The sequence below is a fragment of the Homo sapiens genome, chromosome 10 (genome assembly GCF_000001405.40).
Source record: "Homo sapiens chromosome 10, GRCh38.p14 Primary Assembly".
NCBI classification, from domain to species: domain Eukaryota; kingdom Metazoa; phylum Chordata; class Mammalia; order Primates; family Hominidae; genus Homo; species Homo sapiens.
In genome coordinates this window covers 60,776,218-60,802,310 of record NC_000010.11, presented here as the reverse complement: position 1 = coordinate 60,802,310, position 26,093 = coordinate 60,776,218, and the positions used below count along the sequence as shown (strand labels likewise).

General features: G+C 36.4%; 1 protein-coding gene across 6 annotated transcripts; it reads right to left on the bottom strand.

The window, feature by feature from the left end:
* On the bottom strand, positions 7,459 to 23,980 carry CDK1 (cyclin dependent kinase 1). 6 transcript variants are annotated; one of them, NM_001320918.1, is made up of 8 exons: positions 23,852 to 23,980; positions 22,109 to 22,170; positions 17,450 to 17,606; positions 16,524 to 16,647; positions 14,081 to 14,251; positions 10,258 to 10,421; positions 10,022 to 10,163; positions 7,459 to 8,434 (listed from the first exon to the last, which is right to left on the bottom strand). In NM_001320918.1, the coding sequence occupies exons 2-8, from the start codon at positions 22,143 to 22,145 to the stop codon at positions 8,336 to 8,338; spliced, it is 894 nt and encodes a 297-aa protein (NP_001307847.1). In that variant the 5' UTR covers positions 22,146 to 22,170; positions 23,852 to 23,980; the 3' UTR covers positions 7,459 to 8,335. The 6 variants fall into 6 exon arrangements, with proteins under 6 accessions (NP_001307847.1, XP_005270360.1, NP_001777.1 ...); XM_005270303.4 differs by lacking the exon at positions 23,852 to 23,980 and adding an exon at positions 23,643 to 23,833; NM_001786.5 differs by lacking the exon at positions 23,852 to 23,980 and adding an exon at positions 23,741 to 23,833.

Genomic DNA, 26,093 nt, shown 5'->3' with positions numbered 1-26,093 from the left:
CCAAAGTGCCATGTGGCAATAGTATAAACCAGTTTGCAGCTTCTTTGGCTTGCTAACCTTGAAATGAATTTTCAAAAATGGAGGGTATTTACATTCATTCAAATTCTACACATAATTTTTAAATAGAATTTAAAAATTACTCATAAAATATATATTTTACATTTGCATAATTAAATGTATACAAATGCAACCATCCTATATTATCATAGATTACCTAGATTTTAATGTAACCATAAACACACTGCTTTACACCTAACACAATAACTAGTGGATGGCAAATAAGAAAAGAAGCAACAAATGCTAGGCACTCCAGAAAACATAAAGGGGTACTGGCAGCACAACCAAACACAAAGGGTACTTATTTAAATCCATTGGGTCCACAAGGCAAGCGAAGGAAGAAGAGAAGTATCTGACTAATACCTAATATTTAAATTCTAGACAAAACATTTCAGTGCAAATCAGGAAGTGCTTTATTTACTCTGATCCAAGTCAAAGGTAGCTGGATAATTAGTTTTCTTTAAACAATATTCAGCTTTGCTGACATCTCATTTTCCAAAAGCAGCTGCTAGCCAAATATAGTATTGTTTATTCACTCCCTGGAAGGCTGTTTTTAAAAAGCACTTCTTCTGCTAAAAATGTTGCATCACATAATTGGAGATAACAGGAAAAGTAGGAGTTGCTGTTTGTATTTAAATAAACATCTGCTCAAAAGTCCAGTTTTCTGTTTGTGAATAATCCTTTTATTTTATGCCATTAGGCACATTGAATTATTGTTTATTCCTTGCTTTTTGCACATGCTAGGAAATATTCCAAACATGGTAACGCATGAGATATTTCTCCTGAAAAAACGATAAAAGAGATGAAGTTGAGCTCTTTGCCTTTTTCCTTTGCTATACATACGTTAGATGTTTCTGTGCCAGTGACTTTATGCATATGCAATATTAACTATCACAATAAATCTTATCTGGTACATGCTTTTAATTAAACTGAAGTTGGATAAAGTTAGCTTTTTGTTGCTATGTTTGGACTATGGCTATTTAAAAATACCTGTGGTATCTGAGTTAAATCTCCAATTACCCTCCCAAGAAAGGTAGAGAATGAAAATTATTGTTGCTTTTACAGAGAACACACCTAGTACTTAGCATTGCAACATGCTTGGTCTATAGCTACTTGCACTGTACACTGTGCATGCCTTTACACTTCAAATTTCACTGAAAACCCATTCTATGTAACTTTCTCTTCTATTTTCTCCTCACTGGTCATTTGGATTCTCTTTTTCCTGGATATTTTATCCTCAAAATACACAATTTCTTCCTTGACCTCATGATGCCTATCTAAAACAGAGTAGAAATCTTTTTAAACTGGAGATCAGAAAACCCAGGTTCTATTTATCACTGTTGCTGAGATCTGAAGGCTCCTCACTGGGAAAATAAAGACTGCATTGAATGATGTTCAACATCCAATTCAATTTTAAAATTTTGATTTCACTAAGTAGGAAATGAGATTTATTGCTAAAAGCAGGTGGGTTACATAGTGAATGCCAAAATTTGGTGCAATGGAGGTGAGGTGTTTGCTCTTGGGGGTTATTCTAGCTGCCATGACCTTCTGTTAGCATGGGTAATTAAGAGCTCCCAAACATTACATTTGTCAGCTAGTTCATGGGGTTTCAGACCAATGTTGACTGGTCAAAAAGTTACCATTTTGTGTTCATCTGGGAAATTGCAATCTTTTTATGTTCTGAGCCATTTTCTATTACTGCTTGTGCATGAGAAGTATTTTAAACAAGAAGCCAAAGCACATTTCTAAAACTGTTCAGATTCTAGCAAGATTTAAGATGGAGCAAATGCTCTGCTTCCCATTTGGATCCTAGAAGCAGTGAACACACTTCATGAAGAATACATTTATATTTTCTTGCACATAAATACATTTGTCATGATACCAAAACCATTGAGACAAATGGTTATGTTCAGTTGGGAAATGTATCTTTTCTCTCTGCATTAGAAAGAATGTGTTACGGTGTACTTATTCTTGTAGTTTTATAGTTCAGAGAATTTTTAGAGTATAGGAAGCTTCTGTCTATTGAAATAGCATGTGGCCCTTAATTCCTATAAAGCTCTTTAGAAATATAAAGAACTACTAATACTCATTAGCAAATGAATTCTCCAAATACATTCTGCTTTTGTAATTGCATTATTTCCTCAACAGAGAAGTAGAGCATGGTTTTGAAGTCATAATAAGGAATGAATGCCTGTAGAAAACTGTATTTTACAGATTTCTACTCTTGACTGGTAAAGAGTAGGTACCATATATAAACATTCCCCAGAAGTTTGTACTAAAAAGGTCTTTTGAAAGATCAGTAAGCATAAAATTTATTTATATCAGTAACTTCATACACAACCAATACTAGAAGTCGCAGTTAAAAACAGTAACTAGGCTGGGAGCAGTGGCTCACACCCGTAATCCCAGCACTTTGGGAGGTCGAGGTGGGTGGATCACGAGGTCAGCAGTTTGAGACCAGCCTGACCAACATGGTGAAACCCCGTCTCTACTAAAAATACAAAAAAAATTAGCTGGGCATGGTGGTGGGCGCCTGTAATCCCAGCGACTTGGGAGGCTGAAGCAGGAGAATCGCTTGAAACCAGAAGGTGGAGGTTGCAGTGAGCCGAGATTGAGCCACTGCACTCTAGCCTGGGCAATAAGAGCAAAACTGTCTCAAAAAAAAAAAAAAAAAAAAAAAAAAAAACCAAAAAAAAAACACCTAACAAAAAAAAGTGTGAGCGATACACAAAAAGCTTTTAAAGAAGGAATTTGAGAAATTTAATTATGAAATGACTTCTAACTACAAGAGTTCTTAAAATGAGGGTTTTTAAAAATTATTTACCCAATTGCTGTCTTCGTATTGACAGCTGTATCCATTGGGACTCTACTCGTTAACTATTAGTTACTATTAGTTGAGGTTTAAATGACAGAAATCCAACTGAAAGTAGGTTCAGACAACACACACATACACACATACCCTCCTGCACCTAGGAGGAATACTGGGCAGCTCACAAATAGTAAGGCAGTATTGCAGGAACCAGGGCCTCAGGACCAGACCAAGGACATCATGCTCCTAGGAATCTTTCTCGTCTCAGCTAGCTCCAGAATAGGGATGTTTCTGAGGCTCTCCAGTCATGTCATCCCAATTTAGCAAGGTTGGCAGAACTTCATTCCTCTTTTGTAGAGAAGGGGTCTTGCTATGTTGCCCAGGCTGGTCTTGGAACTCCTAGGCTCAAATGATCCTCCTGCCTTGGCCTCCCAATGTGCTAGGATTACAGGTGTGAGCCACCACGCCTAGTCTCCTAAACTTCATTCTCAACGTTTCTATAGCAAAAAGGGCCCTGTGTCTTGTGAGGTCATTTGCCTACGCCTTGCACCAATTTACTACTGCTGGGTTATGGCATATTGTGACGGATTCCACCTGGGTCACCCTTGTGAACAAGGAGTGGAAAGCCGGCATTTAAAGCCCCATGAGGACCACAAGCAGTAGAATTCCACACATAAAAGGGGATATTGCTACCTAAATGAGATAGGAAAACCAGCTGGACTGAAAACTGCATCTTACTTTGATGACCTTGGCTTTTTCAACCTTGAGGCAGGTTTCTGATGATTTGTCTGGAGATTCAGTGCTAATGAGAGGTCTGTAGGCCTGTCCTATTTTATTGGTTTTGGCAACCCCAACCTTGGTGCTTCTTGGCCTGTCTGGATTGCATTTTTTTTTTTTTTTTTTGAGACAGTCTTGCTCTGTCACCCAGGCTGGAGTACAGTGGCATGATCTCGGCTCACTGCAACCCCTGCTTGCCGGGTTCAAGTGATTCTCCTGCCTCAGCCTCCTGAGTAGCTGGGGCTACAGGTGCCTGCCACCACACCCAGCTAATTTTTCTATTTTTAGGAAAGACGGGGTTTCACAATGTTGGTCAGGCTGGTCTCGAACTCCTGACCTTAGGTGATTCACCAGACTGGGCCTCCAGAAGTGCTGGGATTACAGGCATGAGCCACTGCACCCGGCCTGCATTGACTTTAGCATTTGCCTGTTTCTTTCTTAAGCCTTGGAAACTAAATACACATTCTCTTTAGGGATTTGCCTTGGGAACCAATATGATGCAAAGAAAGAACAGTCTCAACTCAGAAAGCTCTGAAATCCCATGATCTGGCACTTACTAGCCTTGTGACCTTCCACAAGTTAATCTCTATGAGCCTTAGTTTCAACCTCTGTAAGATGAAGGCACCCACTCCCTGATATGGTTGAAAGAAAAAAAAAGAAAATGTATATAAAGCATAGTGGCAGCTCCTAATGGATGAGCAGCAATTAGTAGCTATTACTGAAGGTGAGGTGCCTCTACCTTTGGACATTAAGGACTGGAATTAGATCGAAGGCTCAAGATACTAGACAAAGACAGTAAGAATGAAAAAGACATGGCCCCTTCCCTCACTGGACTTACGCTTTAGTAACGGAGAAAATGAATGTGCCTATGTGTAATGAAAGAAAAAAAGTTATAAAAGGTAATATAAGGAAAAAGGGCTGAGTTCAAAGGAAAAAGATACTATCACATGCCAAGCACTTTACCTATACTCTTGATTTAAGGGATTTAAGTGCCAATTACTGTTGCAAAGCAATAGCTGTAACTGCCCAATTTTCGTAATGTATTGAAAAAAGCTGAATGCAGGACATTTAGGACGTCCTATATATGCAGGATGCTCAGCAACCCTATCTCCATCCCTCATGTCAAACCTACAAGTATGTGCTCACAATAGAGGAGAGACGCTGACTGACTTGTTCGACTACAGACAGAAATGGTGGAGCTGGGAACCACTCTTATCTGACTCTGAAGCCTGGAATCTTCACATTATACTACACACTTCTCAGGGATGATGATGAAAGATTTATGTTCCGATTCCAGTTCAGCCTCTAAATGTAGCCTGACCTTTGATTTCTCCTCCTGTACTTCTGTGCTTTGTCTACAAACCTGGCAAGCTGACCAAACGGCTGAGCCTCTGTTTAGCTCTCTGTAATTCTAAGAACTGCCTATGTAGTGATTTCTCAAAGTGTGGTCCCTTAACCGCCAGCATCATTACCTGGGAACTTGTTAGGAAAGTATATTCTTAGGTCACAACAGACCCACTGAATCGAAAACCAGAATGGGTTCAGCAATCTGTTTCAACAAGTTCTTCAGGAGATCTTAATCCAAGTGTGAAAACCACTGATCTTCAGCATTCTAAAATGCAGCTATTGATTCTAAAATGTTGCTGTTGCTTCTAAAATGCTATTGTTTGTGGTTCCTTAGTCCATGACTCTCAGGTACACTTTGTTTTTTAAAGAGATGAGGTCTTGCCATGCTGCCCTGGCTGGTCTCAAACTCCTGAGCTCAAGCGATTCTCCCACTGTGCTGGGATTATAGGCATGAGCTACTGTGCCCAGCCCAGGTACATTTCTTTTGAAAATTTTAAGGCATCTTAGACACATACAATTTATACTATGGCACAGAGATGACAATGTGTACTATTGCTTCCAAATCCATTAAATTTCATCTCCTACCCCTAACAAACTAAAGTCACAATCCATGCCACTACCATCACTTTCCCACCTTTTCCTTCTCCTGGGCCCTATTTTTTAGTCTGAAATACCTCTCTCTTCAGTCTTCTCAGCTTTAATTTACCCCTCTATCTTTTCATTGTCCCCATTAGTCATGCTTCACTCTAGCCATATTGTCCCAAACCCATTTAAACAATGCCCTCTACTCTCTTCACTCCAAATCCCACACACGTCTTGGTCCACAGTGCAAAATGAGTCTATGGTCCTGTGAAAACTCACTGACTCGTTTGAATATGGCAATTATTTAAACATGAATGAGACCGAAGTTGACATATGAACCAGTTTGCCAAAGGAACTAATGTTTAAAAAAAAAAAACTCTGTTTTCAAGTCTCCTCAAGCGCTTTAAAATATTTTACTATAATTAAAAACTATTTCACCCTGTTAATCTATACTCCCCAAAAGACCCTTTATTGGGCCATTTTATTAAATTCTCAAATACCATTTTTTCAAAAACTTTTAATTTATATATGCCATGCCCAAATAAATTAGTAAAGACTTCATTGCTGTGCTCACATATATGAAGCCTATACTGGTATACGTATGAAATATGCAGCTTTTTCCCCTCCACTAAAGAGTACAAACTCAAAGAGAAATAGAGTAACTTTAAAAATATTGCATGATGTCATTAAGTTTTAAGACAACTAAAACCAGATATAGGCCCCTAATGGTCAAACTCACCACTACTGATGACAATGGAATTCATCTAAATCAGCTTGGCAAGCTTCTGAAAAAATGCATTATTGGGATACATTTCCCAATTTTCAAAATCTGAATTCACAGTAGTGCCAGAATTAGCTTCTGGGTGTTTCTAGCACATAACAGACTTAAGGGTCACTGGCCTAGAGACAAGCTCCATTTTAAAATTAATCAGAAGTACCACAGCACAAACTAATTTAAAAATACATTTGAGATGAGGACACAATTCAGTAGCTTTTCACCTAGTCACTGAAGTTGACATAGGATCAAAAGTAGGTCACTCATTATAGCAAGTGATGACAGTGTCCTACCAGCTATCTCATTTCCCTGGTCTACCAAGTCAGTTCTAATTTGATGTATTATCAACTTTTCAGACACTTGGACTCCGTGGAGCAAGAGCGGTGAGGTTGCATGCTGTTTCTACATTATCTACAAGGCCCCAAACATTTGTATCACCCATGTATCTATATATTACTGAAAAAATAAATAAGTAAATAATTATATAGGATACACTGATAGTTTCTGTTTTACACTGGGGTAGGAAAGGGGTTAGTGATTAATGCTGGTCGTAAATCACTAAAGGGTTGCAATCCACAATTTGCAAAACAGATCTATTTCAATGTCTCACTTCGCAGATAAGGAAACACAGACCTGTAGATATGCCATTATACCATCTCCAATCTTTAGTGTTACCTTTCATTTACCCAATTCCTGCCATGCAATCCTAAACAACCCTCCACAATATAACCCCAAATGACTTACATTAATAAGCTCTACATTCTCTTACAACAAACTGGCTTCCACCAAAGACCACAGAACAGGACAACCAAACCACCAATCTTAAAAGGTCTCGCTGCTGAAGAAAGTGACACACTTTCTTCTAGAGTGCAAAATTTCCAAGACAAGATGGATTAGATAGATCCCTCATTACACATCCAATTGAGTGTAAAAATCGGTAACCCAGGAATGCACATTCTAGCCTGTTAACGAGGAGGAAAAATAGAGGAGATATAGTTGGAAAAAGGATAGAAGTACACTAAAAAAGTAATAAAACTATTGTACACTTCTCTTGATTGCAGCAAATAATTCAAATTAGGCTGCTTATAGGTAAGAATCACAATGAGCAGCATTATTTGTTAAACAGTTTAATTCCCAAAGCTAGTAATTTTAGTTAAATATACATTAGAGCCTTTTTAGATGGCTGCTAATAAACACTATGTCAAAATGTGTAGTTTTAAACTCAGACTCGAAAGCCAAGATAAGCAACTCCTTCAGTTATTACTCTGACCAAGGCATAAGAATTCACTTAGACAAAAAGCTTTCAAAACCTACCTAAAAATAAGATAGTTCATAAATTTTCAAAACTGTTCTTCCCTGTTGCGGACAGCCCTTGATCTTTGTAAGACTTAGCAAATTTTGGCATGCTCTCATGTTAGCTTTTTAAGTTACTGAAAACTCCTATAAATTTAGCATCATTTCTCAAATCTGTATAGTTTTCTCATTCCGAATGCTTAAACATTTAGGTCAAAAATTAAAATACCAGTAGAAAAATATTCATCTTTAGCCAGGTTGTATAGTTAACAACATGGCAAGAAACTGATGAGAACATTTAAACATTCAGAGCATAAAAATACTTCAAAGCATTACGAAACTTGAACTTAGCATTTTCCTAAATTTTAGTAGTTCCAACTACAGGAAAATAAAACTGCCATAAGGACTGAGATGATTTAAGCCAACTCAAATTTTTTCCTGATTCCTGACATCAATATTATAGTTTTATTATAGTAACAAATAGTTGTTACAGTGAGACCTACACACATTTACAGAATTATATTTAAATTCATATAGAATATTTACATTTTTAAGTTATATTTTTGAAATTAGAAGACGAAGTACAGCTGAAGTTTGATAACAAAGAAATATATATAAGACAAAAATAGACAAGAGTTAACAATAAAAACACAACTATCTGTTGATATAACATATGGAAACTTTTTGTCAGAAAGCTACATCTTCTTAATCTGATTGTCCAAATCATTAAAATATGGATGATTCAGTGCCATTTTGCCAGAAATTCGTTTGGCTGGATCATAGATTAACATTTTCTGGGAGAAAAAAGAAAAAGAGATATTTATTTAGGAAATAAACCATTTTTTACAAAAATCTCCATAAAACCTCAACTTTTCTAGCAATAAACCAAAACTAATACTTTCAGTGAATATCTATTAAATGAGCATTTCCATTAGTTTAACACACAAATGTCTCCTCCCCTACATTTCACTCTTGAGGTCTAGAATAACTTACTCTGTAAATCATAGATATTCTCAATAACCTCTTTTTGTTATCAATTACGGTAAGACTCAAGCATCCAGAAATAGCTTTAAAACTGAGACACAAATATAGGAAAGACGTCTAGTTAATTATATTTACATTGAGAATTAAACGGCCACCTGAGTTATTTACAACATTCTTGAAATGGCAATTAACTATGGCAGTTTCTGATGTAGCTTCCAGCAAGTTCCAAAACCCCCCATAGCACAATGTGTTATAAAAATAGCTAAAAATGAGTCACTAAATGAATTATAGTCACACAACTTAGTATGTTAGTTTACGCGCCAGAAAAAGCTAAATAAAGTTTAGGATTGATGTTAAATTTGATCTTTAAGAAATACTAAAATAAAATAAAATCAACAAGCACACTAGAGATTTTTTACTAACTAGTTACCATCTGAACTCTCATGTAACCAGCACCATACAAACTGCTTTGTATAAATCATGGTACTCAATTCCCACAGCTAAAAGTAGGTATTAATGTCATTTTACAAATGAGGACATTGAGGCTCGAAGGGAAGTAACTTGCCCAAGTTCCCAGAGCTAAGGAATAAAGCTCAAATTTGAAACCAAGTTTAATTTACAATAATGGTTCGCAACTGGGATAGACTTTGCCCATCAGGAGACATTTGGCAATATCTGGAGACACTTTTGGTTGTCCTAACTGTGAAGAGTATACTAATGGCATCTAGAGAGTAGAAGACAGTGATGACATGCCACTAAACAAGTTATGATGCACAGAACAATGCCAGCAACAAAGATTTATCCACTCCAAGATATGTCAATTGTGGCTAGACTAAGGAATCTGATTTATAGTATTTGATTTGGGGGAAATCTAAGCTTAATTTTGTGGCATAAGGAGTCTTTACACTCTGAAAGTAACCCGAAGACCAATGAGAAAATGTATACAATGGTATAGCAATAGATCCTTCTGATGGAGAAACTAGGTACAAAGTGCGAATAAAGCTTATTCAGAAGATGGCTTTAATAATTTAAAATATCAACCAATAAGAAAAACACGTCTAGCATAAACTAAGAGGGCTCAATAGTGACAAAAATGCTAGAAAGGAGAGCCACTACAATTCAGCAACTTAAAAAAAAAAATGTGTATTAATCCTGGCTTCTCCCTCAGAATATCCATAGCTACCTGTCAGATAAAAAACAAAAACTAATGCTAAATCCTCCTCTCAAAGCCACTAGTGCCTCCTGATATCTAAAATGAAGCTAGTATAATACAATGTACATAACAGACACCTAGCTCAAAAATGTTAGTGTTCTTCCTATTTTCTAGGCAAAACAAAGAACTGAATATATTCAGAATCATCAATAATTTGAAAGTCAGTATCAAGGGCACTCCTTACCGAGAGCAAATCCAAGCCATTTTCATCCAAGTTTTTGACATGGGATGCTAGGCTTCCTGGTTTCCATTTGGGAAATGTATTCTTATAGTCCTGTAAAGATTCCACTTCTGGCCACACTTCATTATTGGGAGTGCCCAAAGCTCTAAAAAACAGGAAATTAAAAATTTCTTAAAGCATAAATGTAATCTCATTGTTACATATATGTTACCTTTATTATCTCAGTTTTTAATAGCTACCTGAAAATCCTGAAGAGTTGATCAATTTCTGAATCCCCATGGAAAAGTGGTTTCTTAGTTGCTAGTTCAGCAAATATGGTGCCTATACTCCAAATGTCAACTGGAGTTGAGTAACGAGCTGACCCCAGCAATACTTCTGGAGATCTGTACCAGAGTGTTACTACCTATTAAAAAGCAAATTTTTACAATGAATAAATGTGGTGCATAAAATTACCTACACTTAAACATTTATATTTTTATTAGGGCTGTCCTTTAAAGGTTGTATGACTGCCACCAATAATATTGTTTAAGTCAATTAAAGGTACACAAAATTGAAGATAAATATTTCATTTCTAAGTTCTATTCATTAGAAGACAAAACAGATAAAAGCATAATAAATATTTTTTTGCTTTTCAAATCACTAAAGATCAAGACAGTTATACAGCCTTATCTTCCCCCCACTGAAAAACCAAACCCATTGATAATAGATTTGGGGTGACACTGAACAAAGTGCAGGTACTGCTTACTTGCTAAGATGGTACTAACAGTACCATTATAACATGAATAAGAAACATGAGAAAGAAATAAAGGGCATCCAAATTGCCAAGGAAGAAGTCAAATTGTCCCTGTGTGCAGAGATGATCTTATATATAGAAAAACTTAAAAGACTCCACCAAAAACTCTTAGAACTGATTAACAAAGTTGCAGTATACAAAATCAAAATCAGCATACAAAAATTAATAGTTTCTATACACCAATAACTAGCTGAAAAATAACATCAAGAAAGCAATCTAATGTACAATAGGTACAAAAAACCTAGGAATAAATTTAACAAATGAGATGTATAATCTCTACACTAAAAACTATAAAACATTGAAGAAAAAAATTTAGGAAGATACAAAAAAGACATCCCATGTTCATGAACTGGAAGAATTAATATAAAAATGACCATATTACCACCCAATGCAATCTACAAATTCAGTGCAATCTCCATCAAAATACCAAGGACATTCTTCACAGAAATAAAAAGAAATCCTAAAATTCATATAGAACCAAAAAAGACCCACAATAGCTAAACCAATCTTGAGCAAAAACAACAAAGCTGAAGGCATCGTATCACCTGACTTCAAAAATGTATTACAAAGCTATAGTAACCGAAACATCATGATATTAGTATAAAAAAGGACGCAGAGACCAACAGAACAAAATAGAGAATCCAGAAATAAATCCATGTATTTACAGTCAACTCATTTTTGAGAAAGATGACAAGAACATTCACTAGGGAAAAGCCAATCTCTTCAATAAATGGTGCTGGAAAAACTGGATAATCCACATGCAGAACAATGAAACTAAACCCCTATATCTAACCATACACAAAAATCAACTCAAAATGGATTAAATAAGACCTTAAACTATGAAACTATTGGAAGAAAACAGAGGAAACACTGTTATTGATATTGATCTGGACAAAAATCATATGGATAAGACCTCAAAAGCTCAAGAAACAAAATCAAAAATAGACAAATGAGGCCAGGTGCAGCAGCTCATGCCTATAATCCCAACACTTTGGGAGGCCAAAGCGGGAGGATTGCATGAGCCCAGGAGTTCGAGAACAGTCTGGGAAATATGCTGACAGCCCCGTCTCTAAAAAATTTAAAAATCAGCCTAGCATGGTGGTGCATGCCTGTGTATGGGCCCAATTACTCAGGAGGCTGACGTGGAAGGATCACTGGAGCCCAGGAGGTTGAGGTTGCAGTGAGCCCTGTTCACGCCACTGCATTCCAGCATGGGTGACAGAGAAAGACCCTGTCTCAGCAATAACAAATAGACAAACAGGATTATATCGAACTAAAAAGCTTCTGCACAGCAAAAGAAACAGAATGAACAGAATAACAGAATAATGCAACAATCTGCAGAATGGGAGAAATTATTTGCAAATCATTCATACAACAAAGAATTAACATCCAGAATAAAAAAAATAGTAAGAATCCAATTTTAAAAATGGTCAAACAATCTGAATAAAACTTTCTCAAAAGACATACAAAGACCAGCAAGTATATGAAAAAGTGCTCAACATCACTATTCATCAGGGAAATGCAAATCAAAACCACAATGAGCTATCACACCCAGTTAGAGTAATTATCATCAAAAGACAAAAAATAAGTGCTGATAAGGATGCAGAGAAAGGGCAACTTTTTACGCACTGTTGGTGGGCTCTTAAATTAGTAGAGCCATTATGAAAAACTGTTTAGAGGATGCTCAAAAAACTACAAACTAGAACTACCATATAATTTTGCAATCCCACTGCTGGGGGTATATGTCCAAAATAAATAAAATCAATTATGTCAAAGAGATATCTGCACTCCCATGTTTATTGAAGCACTATTCACAATAGTCAAGATACAGAATCGACCTGTTTCCATCAACAGATAATGTGGTGTATACATACACACATACAGAAAATGTAGTGTACACACACATACGTGCACGCAATGGAATACTAGAATACTACTCAGCCATAAAAAAAGAATGAAATTCTGTCATTTATGACAACAAGGATGAGCCATGAAATAAGCCAGGCACAGAAGGATAAATACCACATGTTTTCACTCATATTTGAAAACGTAAAAAGTTGATCTAATGGCCATAGAGTGGAATAGTGGTTATTCAGGGCTTAGTAGAGGAAGACAGAGATAAGTTGGTTTATGGATACAATTACAGCTCAAAAGGAAAAATAAGCTCTAGTGTTCTACAGCACTGTAAGCTGACTACAGTTACCAATAATTTACTGTAAATTTTCAAATAGCCCAAACAAAGAATTTTGAATGTTCCCAACAAAAAGAAATAATAAATGCTTGGGGCAATGGATATGCTAACTACCCCAATTTAATCAATACACATTGCATACATGTATCCAAATACCACACTGTACCCCATAAATATGTATAATAATGCGTCGATAAAAAATGATTTTTAAATTATTTAAAAAACGTGAATAAGTCAAATAACAGATTAGTGATCTAGAACTAACCAACCATTTTAGTATATTTATCATATGGTAAAAATATTGCCTGTTAGAACAAAGCTAATGAGGTCAATAGCATTTGTTTAAGACAAAGAAAACAAAATAATCTTAGTTTATTTATATAGCCATGTAAAAAAATGATAAAGACTAACAAGCAGCCAAGACATCTAATCAGATGAGCACTGTTACTAGTTTTGATCTGGAGACAGTCTTTGGGTCAAGGGTAGACAACTCCACAGAAGACAGCCTTTCAATAATCCTTTATTATACAATGTTCCCTTTCCTTCAGAAACACTAAATGCCAAGTCAGCAATATAACACAGATCAAACATAAATTATAGTTAGCAATTCCTAAATGTATCAGAAATAATATACCTTAAGGAACAAAACCTGTCTTTGAATCAATCTGACTATAATCAGGGAGGGTTCAGTCAGGAGACAGAAACCAAGGTGGTGATTTGAATGGGGAGAGTTTAATATAAAGAATTAAAGTACAACAAAGGATGGGAATGATGTAAATAAATAAAGTAAAAAATAATGAAAATGTAAAAACTGTAGCTAGGAAAACTCCTTCCTCCTGCCATGTCCCTCTAGTACCCTCTACCTTAACAACATAGCAGCTGGTAAAGAAAAAATACTTAAAGGCTTCAGTTCCATTTTCACATAGCATGCAATGAATTTGGAGCTGAGAGGCAATAAATTGATACTGCCACAGAGTAGATATCTTTTATTGAGTTATTTCTTGACTTTCACAAATACAGAAAATAATCTAGCAATCACACACATTCAAAAGCCATCAAAAACCACTATTCCACTTGCCTCATGTGTATATACTCTGATAGGTATTCCAAAAGCTCTGGCAAGGCCAAAATCAGCCAGTTTAATTGTTCCTTTGTCATCAATCAAGAGATTTTGAGGTTTTAAGTCTCTGTGAAGAACTCTTCTAGAGTGACAAAACACAATCCCCTGTAGGATTTGGTATAAATAACTCTGGAAAAAGCAAGTAAAAGTTAGAAACTTAAGCGAAGTACATGATTTTCTAAATAATCTGTTTCAAAGACAAAAAATTAGGACGCAGAGAAATAATTTAATTACTAGAGCTTTCAGGCCATTTTAGGCTAATAAGCATTTGTGGGTGGGAAGCCCATTTATATACAACATCACATTTGTATACCTAAGAAAAGAATCTTCACCTTATAGACATATCTATAGTAATGTGAACACATTTAGTCTTTAAACATTTTTGGTCCCCGATCCTTAAATTACAAATTGGTTTTCTACACAGAAGCCTCTTGATTTTTCTTCTATATACCGCTACCAACTCTATTTTGTATCTTCAATACAGTTGGCCTTTTCTATCTTTCATTTTTACATATTCATTTCCTTCTTGAAAAAATTAGATTCTAAAAGTGATGGCAAAGATATTATGATTATATATTTCAATGGATAAAATTATCATAAAATGCTGCTTAGTTCAGAGAAAAGTGCTTTACAAGACATTTGTTGCCAAAGACAATGTCATTGACATCTGAAGTAGCATGGATATTACAAAAACAAAGTACACAGAAAAATGACTTACAGTTTGAAATTGGAAAGTAATACAGATGCTCCATCTTAGAGGGACAAGTGGTGTTCAAAAAACAAAACAAAACGGATGATCCATCTGGTTAAACTCATTCTAAGCTGAAAATACCTTGTCGAAATGCATTGAACACACCTAACCTACCAAACGTAGCTAAGCGTAGCCCACCTTAATTGTGCTCAAAACACTTACATTAGCATATAGTTGGAAGTGTTGAATACCTCATTATTTATTGAATACTGTACTGAAAGTGAAAAAACAGAATGGTTGTATGGGTAAATGAAGTATGGTTTCTAGTGAATGTGCATCATTTCTGCTTCATTGTAAAACTGAAAAATTGTAAGTAAAACCATTGTTGCCTGTACATAAAACCAGTTAGAACAACTGGCTAGCCATTTGGAAAAAGATAAAGCAGAATCTGTATCCCAGTTTTTAAGTCAAAATAAATCTTAATACAGAATTTAAGACAAAAAAAGTATGTGTGGAAGACAGGACTTACTAAAACTACCAGAAAAATACTGACATGTATTATTCTAATACATTCGATCTTTGAGTGAGGAAGACTTAAGCAAGACATAAAAGCAGAAAGTCCAAAAGTCATGCAAGATTGTTAAAGAACGTATCCTAACGAAAATATAGGCGGTTTATAATAGCTAAATATGAAGTGTTAAATTGTCATGAAATATAAAATTAAAACAATCTTAATATGCCTTTTTCACATAGTTAACAGATTGATAAAACCAAGTTTTGGCAATGATGTACTAAAACAATAAGTATTACACACCATGAGTATTTAAGAGTAAATTGCTACAAGTTTTTTAGGGGGCAACCGGCAATATCTATCAAAATGTAAATAAACATCTTCAATCCATCATTCCCATTCTAAAAATTTATCCTATAAAGTTGCATACGAAGATAAATATCTATAAGGACATTCAGTGCAGTACTGTTAATAAGAGCAACAATAACCAAGTTGGAAAATAATTTAAATGTTCATCAATATGGAAGTGGTTTAATTATATCAAAAATGTAAATAGACATAGGTAGATCTACGTCTTGATAATGTTTTACACAAAAAAGGGAAAATATGTATATATACATATGCAAATAAGTCCACCTTGTGTAAAAAAAAAAATCTTTATATACATACAAAGTGAACATACATACAAGTGTAAGATTACAAATAAAACTAACAGCGCTACCTCTGCAGAGTGGTTTGGTAGAACTGGTGCAAGAATAAGACACTTTTATATACTTCAGTACTTAAAACTATACAATTTTATAATTTACCTGAAATATAATAAATGTCTACAATAAATTGACCAAAACATGTTCAAAACTGGAATAAAACACCTACAACCACCACTCTGCCCTAGGCTTTCATTACTTTGTTTTACATGTATCTGACAGCCAAAGAAAGACCAGACTACCCTAGCTTCCAACAATACCTACCAGTTCTATGTTATCTCAGGCACTAATTTTTACTTACTAGAAACACTATCTGGTAATAACATGGGTATCTCTAACCTGTATAAACTAACCATGAGGGAGAAAAATGAAATACTTTTTCTTATTCTAACACTTTTTCCAAGCATATTCCCACAAAATGCAGGGACTTCTATATATAGTCCCTTTATATCCACAGTGCATAAATATTAATAAAATTAGTTAAGCTTTTACCTTAACAAGTGAAGAATCCATGTACTGACCAGGAGGGATAGAATCCAAGTATTTCTTCAGATCCATGGAAAGAAACTCAAAGATGAGATATAACCTGGAATCCTGCATAAGCACATCCTGAAGACTGGGGAAAAAAAATATATGAGAGAAGAATCCAGCAAACATTTTTGACCTCTGTTTCACAAAATAAAACTCCTTCCATAATTTCAGTTGCTATAATAAAAACTGGGGAAGACGTAGTAGCTTCCCTAATGGAAGAGACTCAAAACTCAAATTTAAGAAAGGAATCTCAGGGCAACTATTTAAAATTAAGCCTTGTACAGGAGGTGCTTATTTATAAGGAGCCTGTATTCAAAAGAACATATCTAGGTTGGCTACTAATTGCTGAGAGCTTATTTTTTCACTGAAGTGAATTATACAAATAAATTTTAAAGTGGTATCTGACCTTAAAAGCTACTTCCAATCTCTAGCCCCAGCCAAGTACAATTAGATTTTAACTTGGACTGTTAGGAAGACAGGTCTCCAAAAACACCCAATGCAAATACTTTAAGGAAAAAAAATCTTTTTCATTTGACCTAGCTACTTTTCTTAAGACTCTAACTAAAGGGTCTTCAGGAACTAGAGCTCCCCAAGTAGGAGAGAGTTGACAAAGCTCTATGAAAACGGCTTTACTCCCATGGCCAATTTACCTTGCTATTCTAGGCCCAAATATTAATCTACATCACCCAGCTCCTCCAACTCTGTTCCTGCTTTAACAGCCTGTTCTCTTTTACATATGTGCGGCATTCTCAACTACCAAAAATAGGGTTCTAGTCCACTCAGTAAGGCTAGACCAAGAAATTGAGCAAATGTAAAGATTTCCAAGTTGAAATTTATATTTGAAATAGCATGCAGAAAATGGCTTACATTCAGATATTACAACATACCTGACTATATTTGGATGACGAAGTTCCTTTAATAGAGAAATTTCCCGAATTGCAGTACTAGGAACCCCTTCCTCTTCACTTTCTAGTCTGATTTTTTTCATGGCTACCACTTGACCTGTAGTTTTGTGTCTACCCTTATACACAACTCCATAGGTACCTGAAACAAAGTAAATAATATGCTGTGTGACACACCCCACAAACTAAAGATCTTTTTTTCTTTTTTTTTTTCCTTATGGCAGGGTCTTGTTTTCTTGTCCAGGTTGGAGTGCAGTGGGTCAATCAAGGCTCACTACAACCTCCTCCTCCTGGGCTCAGGGGATCCTCCCACGGCAGCCTCCCAAGTAGCTGGGACTACAGGCACATGCCACCACACTCGGCTAATTTTTGTCTTTTTGGTAGAGATGGGGTTTCACCATGTTGCCCAGGCCAGTCTGGAACTCGTGAGCTCAAGCAATCTACCTGCCTCGCCGCCCCAAAATGCTGAGATTACAGGCGTGAGCCACCGCACCTGGTCAAACTAAAGGATTTCAAGATCATTGAATCCCATAAGGGTCACATGATAGAAATGTCTGGTGTGGCCATATGGGAAGTATCTTACTCATACCCTCATTGCTTCCAAAAAGAAATTGAGAGTAACTACAATCTGTATGGCTTAAAAATAAAATTCATGTAGTCATCACAAGTTTTCTATACATCTAAATTACCATTAATGTTCCAGCATATTTTACAGAACAAAATAGATCATTTGCAAATTAAAATTAACCTTCTGTCAATATCCTACCCTGCAACGAAGTGGGCATAAAATATAGTGTAAAAATTTGGGCTCAGGAAATATTACTGATAAAAGTCATTATGACACTTTCAGAAAATACTGTAGAGTGCTTTATGCTTTTCAAAACACTTTTATCTGTATCTCAAAATACAGTCAACAGTCCTCATTCTCAAAAGAATGGAGAAAAAAGACCAGGTGTTTGTGTATTAAACCTAATAAAGCACATTGTATGTACTACATATTAGGAAAGCCTCACACCCATTTGCAAGTTGATGAAAATACTGATTTTGATATATGGGCTTCAGGTAATGAGCAACAATATCAATTATAAGGGATAGCAGGGAGGGAGGAGGTGGATACAGGGAATGAAATGGCAATAAGGGAGAAGACTAGCTAAAATCTGTCATATACGTGGCTGAATTCCCTAGATAAGTCTTTTTAAACTCGAGTTGGAGTTTAGGGAGGTCCTGAACCCCTTAAGTACACACAAAATTTTGTTGAATAGCTTGCTTTCCATGGCATTGGTTTAACTTCAAAAGTGATTAGAGTGCACTGTTCTAGGAAGAAGGCCTCTTCTATAGCTTTTATGAGTTTCTCTGAAAGTAGCAATATTTTAAAAAAGGCTAACAACCAACAAATTACCAACTGCTTGGTTAAAAAATTAAGCAGTTTGAGCAGTAGCAAATTGATGCTACTTAAGCTTAATTTTTTTGACAGAACCTCTATACAAAAGTCTATGTTTTCTTAAATACTGGTGTCATTTTAAAACTATAAACTGACATGAGTCATTTTATACTATTTTGATTAAATTGTGGATTAATGTATAACTTTTTGATAACCAAAATTACTCTACATTAAAGGAGAATTGACTATATTTAATCCTCACAGCCATCCTTAAAAGTAGGCAACCTTCATATACTTAAAATCTACATTTTTTTGGATGTAAATTCAGCTCTCATTAAACACAAAAAGTAGGTAAACCAGTAGCACAATCATCTGGCATACTGTTTAAGTGATCTCAGGAAAATTAGTCACTTGCATAATACAGTCACATAAACAGTTAATGGTAAGTTCAGAACTAATTTTTTTTCTAGCATCCTTTCTTCTCCCTCAAGTGTACAATCTCATCTAATCCTAAATAATTTTCAGAATTAACAATTAACCAGTGGCCAACACTCAATGTGTTGAATTTTAGAGATAATATCACTTCTCACTGAACTACTGGAAGAGGGGTTAAACAAAGCAGAACTTTCTATTGGTTAATCATCCAAAATTATTTTTGAAATACATGGCATATCCTCCAAAATGAACTAAGAATTCTAAAGACAGAAATACTCTAGGGTATTTAACTAAGTATAAATAACTAAGGAGGCAAAAATCATTAACACAGGTAAGCCTAGAAGGAGATCAGTCTAAGTCTAATGGAAGATTTATCCCAGGAAACAAAAAGAAACAAAAGAAAAATATGTAGGATATGATCAAGTTATGGAGGCCCTTAAGCAGAAAACCTTCATTAAGCAAGTATTTATCAAATGCCTACTAAATGCCAGGCAAGGTTCCACCATCATGGATACTGCTACTCTATGATCCAAAAAGACATTTTCTTAAGACAGGAAGGATTTCAAAGATTAGTATCACAACACTCAGATTTCTGTAATTCAGAAGAAACCAGAGAACAATTTTTGTAATATTTAAAATAGTAAAGTCTGGAGGTATTTAAGAAATGAATTAGGTTGTCAAGACTCACTGTCAAGTGAGAGAAAAGGCAGAGACTGTTCTAAATCAGAATTAATGTCAATGAAAAAAATAAAAAATAATGCTAACATACATACAGATAATAAAGTAAACATGACAAAACACCAACATCTTGGTAAAAATATTACAAGTTCATTGCATAAATCTTTCAATATAGATTTGGAGATGTTCAAAATGAAAAGTTGAGGGGAAAAAATATAACTTTTAAAGTAGTATTTTAATACTAGACTTTAACCAGATACCTGGCAGAACCAAAAGAAAATTCTGTGTGAATCATTTAGGCCTCCATTTATTTCCACAAGTTCCTTTTTCCAAAACAATATCCAGCACATAATCCAAAACAATCAGGCATTGGAGTAGAAATGACAATACAAGCCAGAAAAAGAAACAACAGTGTTCAGAAGAGCAAACAAGGAAAACAGATGTTATTATTATCTATTTGGCTATCTCCTGTGGGTTGGGCACTACTGATAGGCAGTGGGCAAACAGTTGTGAACAAGACAAAAACCCCAGCCCTCAAGGATCCTATGGTATGATGCAAAGGGAACTACAAAATGCTCTTGGACTAGAGGAGGAGATAAAAAATGAAGCCAGTAGAAACTGGCCTCCAGGTAGAAAGAACAGCCATTGCCAAAACTCATAGGCCAAATCACAGGATACATTTGAGGACATCAAAGAAATCCAAATTAAGAGTTAAGTGGCATTAGATGGAGCTGGTGAAGAGATGGTTTTGGAGACAGTGTTCATAGTAATAATACAATGTTCAAATGATAAACATTTGAAGGTTTTCTGAGTTAAAGCGCTCATAACAAATGCTTTCCATAATATTGTTCAATTGAATCATATCTTTCGTGTTAAGTCCAATTATCACCATTTGCAGAGGCAGAAACTGAGATCCAGAAAAGTTAAGAGGGTTTACCACTGTCACACTGCTAGAAATAAAGAATGGAAGTCTTATGACTTACATGTATGTAATGGATTAAATTTAAAATTACATTCTTTTAACTGCTCCTATTTCTAGTAGCAATTAAAGTACTTTTCTCAGAAGTCAAATCTGCAGTCTCCTGTATGTTTGGAGTTCTATCATCTTAAAGAAAAATATATTTATACTTTAAGAAGGTCTCTTTTTATGCCAAACTAAAACCAACACAAATTCTCTGGGAATTTAAGAAACACACTACACAGCATTAGACATACTAATCACATATTTTTAATTCAGCAGCAAAATTTGTTTAGTAGAATGGGTATGAGGTATTTAAGTGATTTAAAAAAAAAATATATATATATATGTATACACACACACACCTCCAATCGAACACCACACTAACTTGTCACTCCTATTCCACTAAATTCCCTCCAGTATTCCCCCTTGTTTTTCACTATTTCTTGTCAAGTGGGGTCTTTGATCACATTAAAAATATAGTTGGGAATTTTCTTCTGGCAGAACCTATATAAACTGGATTCTATTAGCAAATTATTTTGTACCTGGAGAATCGAGAATGTTCTGCTGGAGTCGAGGAACAGGCGAAGGGATATACCCCTCATTTGTGCCATATATAGATCTAAACATTCCTTCAAGTACCACAGAAAGGGAAGGATTATATACATAAGTTATAATTTTAGAATAGCTTAAACATGTCTATATGACAGGTCATTTATACTTAGGGTAACTAAATAGAAATTTTATTTAAATTAGATTAAGTCAATTATTGTAACCAGTCTATAAAGTCTGGATAAAAATATTTATCATCCTAAAAACAATTGAAAGAGACTAAAACTAAAAATATATTATGAAGTTAGCATAATTCTGCAGCCCTAACCTCTGCCCCTCAACACACATGCAAGTTATCAATAGTGTCTTCAAAATACAAGTACTACTATAAGTGTTTAGTATCAGAAGACTGTAAGACTATGGGGGTGAGGCGAACGGTCATTAGGGATTCGGTAATTTCAATTCTCTTGAAATGTGAGCAAATTTGCGTTTATTAAGTAAAGAACATATGTTAATGCACACTGGTACTACAAGACAACTTAATGGTTGAATTTTAATAAATATTTAAATGTGTTCATATTACAGAAGTTGTAGCATTGTTAAATCATTCCATAAAATTTATTTTACTAAAACCACTCACCTTCTCCAATTTTCTCTATTTTGGTATAATCTTCCATAGTTAGTCAATGGGTATGGTAGATCCTAAAGTGAAGGAAAAACTGACTTAATTACATGCCACTAACTCGAGTAGTTTTAAGCATTAATGAAACACTATATGTAAAGCATTTTCCACAGTGCCTACTGCAGCATAAGTATTCCATAAATATTAATTACATTCAAACAATATTTACAAGGGTAAGGACTCCTACAATAACTTTCCATCCTTCTTGACTCCTGAGACATTGGAAACGTGTATATTCTATACTAGTGTAGTATTTAGCTTCTTCCAATCAAAATAACCCTCAAATTCAGGTATCAACTTGTCTATTCTTTCCAAACAAAAACCAGAATTATGTTCCCTTTTTGTGACACTTTAAAGTAGTACCTGCGTGTGCCAAAGTTATACCCAAATATTTCAACAAATTTATACCGCTTTATGATACTCCTAATTTTATTCAAAACATTATTTTTTAAAGTTATGAGGACAGAACTAAAATGTGTTCAGACTGTTCATTAGGAAAATTTTGTTTAAAACGACAAAAACATTTTAAGTGTTTACAGTTGCCCACGTGACAATTTTAATCTTTTTCCTCTGCTTGCTGAGGTCACAGACAAACATGCTCAAGACTTTCAAGGTACTTTTTCCAAGAGTAGGAAATATCACTTAAGCACCGTAAAACAAAAGAATGAAAAGTGCAATTCCACAGATAAAATTCTAATTATAACCTAAACAATGTCAAGGACTAAGCAGAAAAACGGTATACTTGAATCACAATGAATGGGTTAAAAAAAAAAGCTGACAACCAGAAGTTCAAGACTTCCTCTGAAGTTTGCCAATGAAACGTCAGAACTCCAGGCATAATTACCTAGATTTTTCTAACACCCATCACTGATGATAAAATCATTTATAAAGCACACTCAGAATAGACCTTTAAGTTCTATTTCTCACATTCATCTTCAAAGAAAAATCAATCCAGAAAGAAGCAGAGATGTATCTTTTTAAATGAAAAAAACTGCACTACACTGCTCATGAGAGTTAAGTGCCTGGGCTGACTGTTCTTAACAGCTCCAGGTGGGCCGGGGCCGTGGGCAGAGCAAGCCCAAGAAGGCCCACGAGTTCCAGGATCGGTTTCTCAGGGCGGCCTGGCTCTAGGGACCCGCGCCTGTACCTGGCCCAGGTGCGGTCCCACTTTCCCACCCCCGAGGCGGGATGGCAGGGCGCGCAGGGGCCGGGCCCAGGAAAGAGCCTGCTACTCCGCAGGCGCTCAGCGTGGGGGAGCGGATTTTGCTTCAATCAAGACCCGAAAGCCTCTTCAGGCAGTTCCTGAGAACAGCCGACCTCGACTCATGACTGCAGCCCCGAACCCCCACCCCCACGCCGCCTAACCCCGCCAGGCTGGGCTCCCATAGCCTCCCTCTAAAGCCAGCCCAGTGTGGCTCACACGGCCAGACCCAGGCGAAGGCCCTGCCCACCGCCCCCCGAGGCCCAGCCGGGCCCCGCGCAGATCCCTGACCTCCAGTCCGGCCTTCTTAGAGGACCCCGTTCCTCAATACTCGCCCTCCGAGGCCCTCGGCCGTCCCCTAGACACGACCCTGACCCCAGCCACTGTACCCGGCTTATTATTCCGCGGCGGCCGCAGCGGCAGCTACAACAACCGCGTCGCTCTCCGCTCAATTTCCAAGAGCCAGCTTTGAAGCCAAGTGCGAGCAGTTTCAAACTCACCGCGCTAAAGGGCCCCGGATTCACCAATCGGGTAGCCCGTAGACTTTCAAAGCAGCCAATCAGAGCCCAGCTACGCTGGGCAGGCCTTCCCGGGTGGCTAGAGCGCGAAAGAAAGAGGAAAGGGCGGCTAGAGAAAAAGCAGGAGGGCGGGCGCCAACTGAGTGCGAGCGCAAGCGCTCTCCTCCAGTCGGGAGAGTGTCGTCCTACTGTTTCTAGTCAGCGGAGCAGGAAGCTACTGTTCGCTCCGTTCTTCTTTTAAATTTTTTCTCCCAGCATTGGCACAGTTCAAATTTATTATACTCAAAATAGCTCATCAAAAAAGTGATATTGTGTTTACATCGAGATTCCATTACTTTCACTTCTAATACTTAGGGTTAGGAGTGTATAGTTATGTTTTTCTAAATGCGTGATTTGCGGGCTGGCTCCAAGGAGCACATTTCAGTGACCTTAAGAAGGAAATGGAAAACTCAAAAGACCGCCTCAAAAATGTAAAGGAAAATTTATTATTTATATCGCTGTGCTTTGTTTCTACCTCATTTTTGAATTTAATATTAAATTATTTTATTATTTACATTTTGTTTATTATACAATTAAAAACATTTGAAATGTATTAAATTTTAAAATATTTTCACATCAGAATTTTAAATATATAGAGAGAGGCATGCATTTAGAGACTGGGTCTCATTATGTTGCGCATGCTGGCCTCCAAATCCTGGGCTCAAGCAATCGGCCTCAGCCTCCAGCGCAGCTGCGACTACAGGCACTCGCCACCACGCCTGGCTTAAATATAATTAAAACACAAAAATTCACAATTCTATGAGGGGAGAGAAAGAGGCTTAAATTATGCTTTAAATAATCCAGTGTCAAAAACTCTGTCTTCATTGCCATCCATCATATCCTTGAGAGAGATTTCTGCACTTACTGCAGTTAATTTTTTTTTCCTTTTTCTTGTTCTTTCCTTCTTTCTCTCTTTCTTTCTTACTTTTTTTTTTTCTGTTTGTTTGCGGAGACAATGTCTCCTTATGTTGCCCTAGCTGGTCTCCAACTCCTAGGCTCCAGCAATCCTCCTGCCTTGGCCTCCCAAAGTGCTGAGATTACAGGCGTGAGCCACCAGCCCAACCTAAACACCATTCTAAAATCTTTTTAAAATAAACAAATAGAACAGTAAAACAGAGCTAGACATAATAAAAATCCATTTTAAGGATTTCTGGTTGCATTGATCCTAATGGGACATAGAACAAAGACTGATTACCACATCCACTACAAGTATGTATTAGAAGACCCAAATCAGGATATGGAATGGAACTTCCTTACCCTTGTGATATAGAGTATATCACATGCACTTAAGTGTTTAACACCTTTTAACACAATGAGCTGCATCTATCATCTGGTGTTATACATTGCATCTGGCTCAACCTTGACAATTTTTGTTCCTAGGCAACAGAGGCAGAGCATTTGGGAGTCATGGTGTAGGTAGGAATTTAAGAACTCCTGCTGGAGCCTAATCACTTTTAAAACTTATGTTTAAAATCCAAACTTCATTTTTTAAATGAAAACTCACTGCCCCAGAGAAGTGCTCTAGGGAACCAGGCTGTTCTGTGCAGTTTATGGTACTGGTTTTAATGAATTTTAATATGTCTTTCTCTTTGAGAGGCTTAAGAGGAATTCAACTTCTATATCATCTAAAAATGGCAACTAATTCATTATATCCATTTTACCTTTAACATAAAGAAGACCACAAGCTTCCACAGCTGTGATGCTAGGTGTATCAATTTAACTCAATCATCTTTCTTTATAAAGTTTCAGAGGTTATTGTAAATCCATGCTATCATCTTGGCAAATACAGTTTATTACCCTTTGGGCCAACTTCTATGTAGTATCTCCAAAGTGCAACACTGTGCTTCATAGACACAAAAATGAATAAGATACAGTTACCGCTGGAGGTGTTGAGGGTAGGGGAGCAGGATGATAATTGGGAATTCTCTTCTGGTACTTACCTTGTAACTTATGTTACAGGGCAATGTGAGAACCCAGAGGAGGAAACTGCTAATGCTAGCAGAAGTGACATTTGAACAAAGGCTGGGGAAAGGATTCTGGAGTGGGCCTTCCATACAGAGGAAATTGTATAAGTAGAGCACAGAGGCCAGAAAGTCAACCCAGGTAATTCAGGGTGCCCCCCATGGTAGAATGTAGGGAGTACTGCATCCTGTGATGTTAAAGTCAGAGAAGGGAGTTTACAGTC

Coding starts and splice junctions, on each gene's coding strand:
- CDK1 (NM_001320918.1), bottom strand. CDS start 22,145: ATGGAAGATTATACCAAAATAGAGAAAATTGGAGAAG. Junction 10,422..14,080: donor TCAGAGTATATACACATGAG/GCAAGTGGAATA, acceptor GCTTTTTAATAG/GTAGTAACACTCTGGTACAG. Junction 10,164..10,257: donor CAACTCTTCAGGATTTTCAG/GTAGCTATTAAA, acceptor CCTGTTTTTTAG/AGCTTTGGGCACTCCCAATA.